General features: G+C 40.5%; 1 long non-coding RNA gene across 1 annotated transcript; it reads right to left on the reverse strand.

The window, feature by feature from the left end:
• Window positions 1-267: 267 nt before the first annotated feature.
• LOC107987060 (uncharacterized) lies at window positions 268-6,402 on the reverse strand. Its single transcript, XR_007061452.1, has 2 exons — window positions 1,151-6,402; window positions 268-536 (listed from the first exon to the last, which is right to left on the reverse strand). It is a non-coding gene; the product is annotated as an uncharacterized LOC107987060 (long non-coding RNA).
• Between the last annotated feature and the right edge of the window lie 2,742 nt (window positions 6,403-9,144).

Consider the following 9,144-nt stretch of genomic DNA (forward strand, 5'->3'; position numbering starts at 1 on the left):
CTGCATTTATAAGCTACGTGACCTTGGACAAGTAACTGAGTCTTGGCATTCCCATCTGGGAAATGGGGATTATAATAATATCTGGGTTATAGAAATGTTGTGAAGATATATACCATAATCAAATAATCTATGTCAAGCCCTTAGCACAATGCCTGACATATGACTAAGTATTTGATACATGACGGTTTTATTGTTAGTTTTCATGCAATGAGATATCATAGAACTTAGCCCCAAAACCACCATTCCAGATAATTCCACTGGCCAAACTCAGAGGTGAATAATTAATTTTTTAATCATTATTAATAAAGACATGAGAAAACCTTACCATGTTTTAACTACCCTTGATGCAAGTATACAGTTATGTTATTCTACTGTGTGAGTCATTATTGTCCAGTGCTGTGATGATACACACCATAAGCATAAAAGTTCACACGATGCATGATAAAATTGTTCAACAATAAAACAGACAACATTAAAGGACGAAGATTCAGCATCACTTCAGATTTCGACCAAAACACAAGTTAATCAGCACATCCCTAAAGTATAACAAAGCAGAAAGTTAGTTACAATCAAGTCCTAAATGCCTAAGTACTTAATATATTTTTCATCAACTCCAAGCAAAATTTACTTCAAATTTAGCCAAAAGATTATTTCAATTTTCTTTTTTTTTTTTTTTTCCTTCAGCGGTGGCCATCAGAGATAGTGTTATGACCCTCACCTACATTTCTGTATAATGAGCTTACCTTTGGAGAATAAAGGGAAATCCTTTAAATCTGAGGGTTATTGAAAATCAAAATCCCTGCTTACTATGTAGTTAGTGCCCTGTATTTACCCATTAATTGTTAGATATATTAAAAGTTATTATCTTTGCTGGAGCAGGTTTGGGTCTAAACACCCATTCAATGGTTCTGAATTAGAGGCAAGGGGAAGAAAAGCCCAGAGATAATAGTAAAATTCAAAGTAAATGTGGTTTAATTACATTGTCATGTATGATAGCAACTTTAATTTCATGATGCAGTGTTTTATGGTAATGAAAAGAAACACAAGGAATTGTAGGAACACAATAGTTTCATCAACATTAACCTCATAATGCAGTATTTTTCAGTAATGAATGGAAAGAAAAGGAACTGTGTGGGTTGCAGTGACTCACCGCAGCAACCTTCATGAGCAGCAGGTGGAGTAATGAAGGTGATGGGAGAACCATCGTCTCCTCTTCAACATGGCTATTGGTCTCAGTCCTTCTATGTGTTACTAGACTGCACCCTGAAGGTAGAGATCCATCTATCACATTCAGCCTTCTGCCCTTTAGAGCTCCAGTGCTAACACAGTGCCTGGCACATACAGGTTTCTCAATTACTGTGCATTGAAAAAATGAATCTTAAATACTTTCTAAATCTATTTTCAGTTTGCCTGATGGCTAACAAAACATTTCATTGTTCCCTTCTCAATTTATACAATTAAAAATGAAATTACAGTCGGTAATGATTATTGATATTATAATTTTATCTAAATATTTGTTCTGTGTGTCTTTCAAAATTCACCGCCTTTCCTCACTGGCCATGAGGAAAGGAAAATACCTATGTCAGTAAAAGGTTGGAGATCATTGAGCTAAGTGCCGGAAAGTCTGACCACAAAAGTAAAAATATAAAACCAGTTTGTTTCCCTTATTATTGAAAAGGATGGCTCTCAAATCAAAGCAGTAGACATTTCCTCGGGGACAACAATGAGAAAAGCCATAGGCACAATTGAGACTACTAAGAAGATTTGCTTTCTAGGAGCTTACAACTTAAGAAAGTTCGAATGTTTACATAAATGGTTACTTTCCATTAATTCCAAGCTTTGTCTCCACTAAAAATTAATATTATTCCATGTCTAAAATACCCACCCATACATCAATAGTCACAAGCATTTCCCATCGTCTCCATGTTGTAGACATCATAATGGTCTATAATTTTTCCCAAAGGTGGTATAGAGCTTGTCCAGGAAGTCCACTACCTGATACAGTGTGCTGATGTAGAAAGTCGAGGGAAGCCTACTATGTCACTGGAATGGAGCAGGGAGGTAGAAAAAAAGTAAAATCAGGCAAAATAATTGGCAAGACCTAATTAAGCAATGGTACTTCCTTGTTTGGCACAATTTTTTAAAGCTCTCAGAAATCTGAGCCAGGGAGACCAGAAAGTCATGAGTCAGTCAATGGGTTTAGAAAATATCCTTAGTTGTTTGTAACTTGTTTGGTTGGGATTTTGTTTGGGTTTGCTTTTGGTGTTTGGGTGTTGGTTTTGTTTGGGTTTTGCTTAGCTTCATTTTAGACAGTGCTGGCGTATTCCAAGCTAGGGAAGCTGGGTGCATGAGAGCTCTATCCGCTAACATCTGGACTCCCTCTGTTTCTGTTGATCAAGTGAGTGGGTTTATATAACAAGAGATTTACATGGATTGAGACAGCTGTGCAAACTCATTTAAAGAAGTCCCAGGTCGAGGTTAATTTGCTTCCCAGTTATCCTGATTCCTACCTACATTCTAGTTTTGTTTGTTTGTTTTTGTTTGTTTTGTTTTTTTGAGACAGTATCTCTCTCTGTCATCCCGGCTACAGTGCAGTGGCTCAACTGTAGCTCACCGTGACCTTGAACTCCTGGGCTCAAGTGATCTTCCCACCTCAGCCTCTTGAGTAGATAGGACTACAGGCACTTGCCACCCTTGGCCATCTAATGTTTTGTATTTTTTGTAGAGACAGGTTCTCTCTGTTTCTCTGGCTGGTATTAAACTCCTAGTTTCAAGTGATCCTCCCACCACAGCCTTCTAGATCTTTTATTTTTTGGTTGTTAGTGATGCTTTCATATCTTCAGATAGATTTCTCTGAGGTTATACTAGCCTCTGCTGGAGAGAGGTCTTTTGTCTTTTTCCTCCCAGGAAGGAGTCTCTATCAGTGACATGGCATGGCTTTAAACTCTAAAGAGCCGGTCTTTAAGCTCTATGCCTCAGTTTATCCATCTGTAAAACATGGACGCTCTCTTGACCCCCAGTTAGAATCTGACTGCTTTGAGTAACTGCTGTAAACTGCAAATCATTTGCAAGGCTTCCACCTCACAGCTTACAACTTCAATTTATGGGTTTTTCTCAGAAATTTCTAAACTTTCCCCCAGGCAAGGCAACCCTGGTTCTGCCTCATCACAGATGGGGTCATTGTATGTTTTGTTATGGCAGGGAAGAACTATATGGCTTATTTACTTCAGATTAAAAAAAAAATTCCCTGAAATGAAGTATAAGCATTCTAAAGCAATTTCCTGCTGTTTTTGCTAAGCTGCATGCCTTTTAGCTCTAAGAAATTGATTTAAGTTAAAAAAAAAATAAGGTGGTGGGGTGGAGGGACTTAACCAAATCACACCAACGTATTTTATTAACAACATGCCTAAGTGGTAAGCTTGCTGCCACTTGATTCAAATGCCTGCAGTTTCTTCTTTTGCAGATATTATTTACTCTCCACCTGCTGCCAGTCACGCACAAATTGTATAACACTGTAGACTGCTCCAACTCTCTGCCTTTTAAGCTGAAATCCCAATGCCAGTCATGTTAATTTACCTGAAAAGATGGACACACTCAGGTATCTCTGAGCCAGGCAGGTTGGCCTTGTCTTAGGTCATCAACAACTTGTTTCAGTAGCGTGCCTATTTTTAGGTATGAATCCGAACAGTTAATTACCCTTAAGGAAAAGGACACACGGGGGCCCACTGTCATGCCTGCAGCATCATTTTTTACATTGGCACTCTCGATTGTTCTGTCCTCCATACACAGTAAGTAGGGTATGGTTTGCATACTGTTTGCTGGGCCACAGTGGATTTGTACCAAGTCAAGTGTATTCCCTAACCCAGTCTTCCCCGGGGCCACTGTTGAGATGGGGTCAGGGGTGCTGCTAGGAGTGGAGAGAGAGGAGAGTCAATTGGAGGAATGGAAGCTCTGCCTGCAACCTCATTAGGATCAACCTTTACTCATCTAGCACTTTGGTCATTGAGATTGACGCCTCCCCTAACTTAAAATACTTATTATGGGAACCAGGACCTCAGGGTGCGTTAAGCAGGCCCAGCTTCCACCCTGCAGTGATTTGCAATTTCCTTGTTGGGAGCGGTGGCAGCATTGTTAGTTCAGAGAGCTGGGCTTTGCCCTTTTGGGAGGTTGTGGGGCTTTTTGCTCCCAAGAGGTGGCTATTACCTTCCTCATGGGCAGTTTTTTTCTAAACAGGAAGCGGTGGATGAACAATTTTACCATGTCCTCCTCTAGTCTTGGGGATTAAAAATCTTAAGTTATTTGAATCGTTAGGCTGTCGGAAGAAAAAAATCAACTAAGATCGCCATTCTGTCTACAGGGTGAAAACAAACAGAGTGATTTACTGGGCACATTTAGCACTCATTTCCCTTGCAGGAAGCTTGGGATCCCCTGGAGGGATAAAGGATGAATATTTATTGGAGCCTAATAATGGTGGAAAAACCTGATTTTGTATTTTTTTTTCTGTGAAAGAAATAGGGTGATTTTATATATTTCCCTTAGGAATTTCTGTCTCAATAGCGTTTTTGCTATACGTATTCATAATCTACCCTGGTAATATTGTCTGCTAAATACTTATAAATGCAGCATGATCTGGCTATATTGCTTCATCATTAATTGAGGAATATAAAATGCAGTCAGGCCTCCAATCAGTGTTTACAGAGCACCTACCATGTCCCAAGCACTGGACTAGGCACTGAGGGATGTAAAAATGAACAAAATTTAGTTATGCCACACAAGAATTATATAATCCTGCTAGATAAACAGAAATGTGTACAGTTAATCACATACGTATACTACTTGAATATAAAAGTCAGGCTTGCCATGGCCAGGAGAAGGTTTAAAGGGTTACACAGGAAGTATTGACATGTTTCTACCCAAAGGGGGGATATCTTTTATTTCATATAGATTTAGAAAGTTATTCATCTCACCAAAAGGAAGAGATTAACTCATCCAGTCTACAGAATAGGACTGGCAAAGACCCCAAAGGCTTATGAAAATGAATAACTTGGATTAGCTTGGTTCTTCATTTTTGAGCTGCCTTTGAGAATATGGATGAAAACACGGGTCCTCTCCTGGAAAAATGCACATATATACCCAGTCTTGCATGTAATTTCAGGGATACATGGGCCACTTGAAACTTCAACATGGACTGTCTAGAGCACCACCAAATTAGATAAGCAGACAAAAGAGCCAACAATGACATTCTAGTAAACATCAATATTTAGAAGTAAAAAGGCATTTAGAGGAAGTCAAACAGAGAAGAGCCATTGAAAGAAACTATGGCATTGTCAGAATTGAGTTGCACTGTGGGGGCTATTCATCCAGGGCAGCTCTCTGGGTCATCAGGCATCACCAGTTGGTAAAATATCCATGTAAATGCAATAAAATAGATGCATTAGTCTGTTCTCAGGCTGATAATAAAGACATACCTGAGACTGGGTAATTTATAAAGGAAAGAGGATTAATAGACTCACAGTTCCACATGGCTGGGGAGGCCTCACAATTATGACAGAAGGCAAGAAGAAGCAAGTCATGTCTTACATGGAAGGCAGCAGGCAAAGAGAGAAATGAGAGCCAAATGAAAGGGGTTTCCCCTTATAAAACCATCAGATTTCATGAGACTTCTTCACTACCACAGGAACAGTATGGGGGAAACCTCCCCCATGATTCAATTATATTCTGCTGAGTCCCTCCCATAATATGTGGCAGTTATGGGAGCTACAATTCAAGATGAGATTTGTGTGGGGACACAGCCAAACCATATCAATAGAGAAAAATGTATTTACCAAAAACTCCTCTAGAGGGGCTTACCATATATGACTGAATGGAATACTTGGATAGCCCACTTGGGAAAGCAATGACACCTCTAAAGGATATACTCTCTAATAACATAGTCACCAAACTGCCTTCCTAGGAAGACAGGTCAGATTAACTACTTGGCTTTTGTTTTCCTGAGTAGACTCTGTAGGGTTGGGGCCAAAGCTGAACTGCTTGGGGTAGGGCTGGGGTAGTGAAAGCTGGGAGGCTTTTTTGCCTTCAATCCTATCTAGTCAGTACACACTTCCCTCTCTCCATCATCATTACCACCATCATCACAGTCATTATCAACATCATCACTAACACTTGTTCTACTCCAGGCGCTATCTAAATACTACACAGACTAACAATGAATGCTCACAACTCTCCTATGATGTAGACATTATGATGTCCATTTTATAGGTGAGCAAGATGGAAGAGATGAAATTTAAACACAGGGAGTCTAAATCTAGAGCCCTTTTTCTTAGCCACAACACAATACTGATAACATTCAAATAAAACTGTTTGTTTTGTTTTGTTTTTTGAGACGGAGTCTCACACTGTCACTGGGCCTGGAATGCAATGGCGTGATCTTGGCTCACTGCAACCTCTGCCTCCCAGGTTCCCGTGATTCTCGTGCCTCAGGCTCCCAAGTAACTGGGATCGCAGGTGCACACCACCACACCTGGCTAACTTTTTGTATTTTTAGTAGAGATGCGGTTTCACTATATTGGCCAGATTGGTCTCGAACTCCTGACCTCGTGATCCACCTGCCTTGGCCTCCCAAAGTGCTGAGATTACAGGCATGAGCCACCGTGTCCAGGCAATAAAACAATTTTAAAGGACAGAAAACTTTGAGACTTCCCAGGTTGCCCATATGCCTTGGTTTGAGCCTATATGTTTTAGACCTTCCTTGAGTCAGAGAAGATGGAGGAGAAATAAAAGAGCATTGTGTCCTAGAAGCCAAAGGACAAAAAGAATAGAGTGATAACTTTCTCAAGTTTTTAGAGACGTGACCTAGGGTGAGGACTGAAAAGTAACTGTTGGTGTAAGTCATGGCCTTGGCGAGGACAGTTCCTATAGAGTGATGCGGGTGCAGATTGCAAAGGGTTGAGGAGCAAATGAGAAGTGGAGAGGAATCATTGAGTAGATACTACTTTTTCAAATTCTTTAGACAAGAGGACAGAAAACAAATCTACTTTGGGATGAGGAACATCAAATTAAACCCACCTACCAGCTGGCCATGGTGGCTCACACCTATAATTCCTATAAAGCACATTGGGAGGCTGAGGTGGGAGGATTGCTTGAAGCCAGGAGTTCAAGGTTGCAGTAAGCTATGGTTGTGCCACTGCACTCCAGCCTGGGCAGCAGAGTGAGACATCACCTCTAAAAAAATTAATTAATTAATTTAATTAAATAAACCTCCCTGCTCTGCTCTTTTGTAGGAGAACATTTGTGGCACTCCTATTAAAAACTAGGCAATAAGTTTCTTATCGTCATCTCACTTAATTTTCACAATAGACTCATTAGGGTTATCTCCCACATTTTACAGATGAAAATACAGAGGCTCAAAGGGATTGAGTCACACAGCCAAGAAAGCGGCAGAAGCCAACTCTGAACTCAGGATGGTCTGGTTCTGAAACTCCTGACATTTCACTTAATTAAAAGAAAGGAAGACTGCACATATTTATAAACTGAGGTGAAAGAGTTAGAACCAAAGGAGACACTGGGGTTATGGGGTGCAATGGAGAAAGAAAATAACCGATGGTGCAAGGCCCACTAATGATTTCCTTTCTACTGGGTCCTTCCTTCAGCTATTGCATCTCCTAAATTTAATAAAAGTCTGTTGACTACTCAAGCTACAGTTTCATTTCTCTACTCCTCTTTAGAGCAAAACTCCTGAGAAGAGTTGCCCAAACTTGCAGTCTCCCTCCACTTCTTCTTGCCCTATTGTCCCCTGAACACACTCCAAAGCAGGCTTTTTCTCCTCCACACTCCCTGGAAACTGCTCTTGTTAAGGCCACCAGGGATCTCTCAACTGTCACATGCAGAGGGTGATTTAAGAATCAACTTTACCTTGCTTGGCCAGCCATGGTATTTAACACAGTTGACCACAGTTCACTCCCTTCTGCGGGAGATACTTTCCTCACTTGGCTTTGGGGACACTGCCTAATCTTGATTCCTGCCACCCTATCACAGTCCCCCATGCTGGCTTGTCTTCTCTCTCTCTCCCAAGCCTCAACATTGAGGGACCACAGTGTGCAGTTGGCAGATCTCTTCTCTTCAGTATCTATATTCACTGTTCTAGAGGAGCTCATGCGGTCTCATAGTTTAAATATACAATCTTATCAGTATATGCTGATTACTCTCAAATTTATATACCTAGCCTGGAACTCCTTCTTGAACTCCAAATTTGTATAGCCAATGCTTAACAGACATCCCCACTTGAATAGCTAATAGTCTTCTTGAAATAACATGTCCCAAATTTTGATTTTTCTTCCCAAAAGTGACTTCTTTCCAAGACTTTAGGAAACAGCAACTCCACGCTCTCAATGGCTCAAGCCAAAAATATACAAAGCATCTTTGATTCCTTTCATTCATATTGCACATCCAAGAGCTAATCCAAGAGCAAGTGCTATAATATCTAACTCTAAAATAAATCCTGTATTAGACCACTTCTCACTAATTTATTGCTACATCCCTAATTGAAGCCAGCATTACCCTTCCTATGGACTTAACCTCCTAACTGGGCACTCTGACTCCACATTTACCCCTCCTACCATCTTCTTTACTCAGCAACCAAAACATTCATTATAAAAACAGAAGTCAGATCATATTTTTCCTTTGCTCAACCCTCCAAATGCTTCTCACAGCACTCAGATATCTGTAGTCCTTACTAAGGTAATGGACTTAAGCCAAAGCCATGCTTAAGCTTGTCCCAGCTGCCTCTTATACTTTATCTTCTACTTCTTTACCCTGCCATCCCACTCACCAGCCTGCTTGCTGTCCCTCAAATTTGCCAACCATGTTCCTACCTCTGCTACTCCTGCCCCTCTGCCCCTAGAAGTCACTCAGTTCATTTAGGGATCTGACCACACCATAGAAAACAGCAGCCCCAGTCACTCTCTCACTCCTTACATGGTTTTACTCTCCTTCTTGCATTTATCATCACCTGATGTATCACATATTTATTTACTAGTCAGTGCCTTTTCTGTCTTCCTCCACTAGACTATAAGCCCTGGTGAACTGTTGTATTGTCTGCCTATTACAATATCTAACACACAGCAGATAATTAGTAAGCATTTGTTC

This window comes from Homo sapiens, chromosome 9 (assembly GCF_000001405.40).
Source record: "Homo sapiens chromosome 9, GRCh38.p14 Primary Assembly".
NCBI lineage: Eukaryota > Metazoa > Chordata > Mammalia > Primates > Hominidae > Homo > Homo sapiens.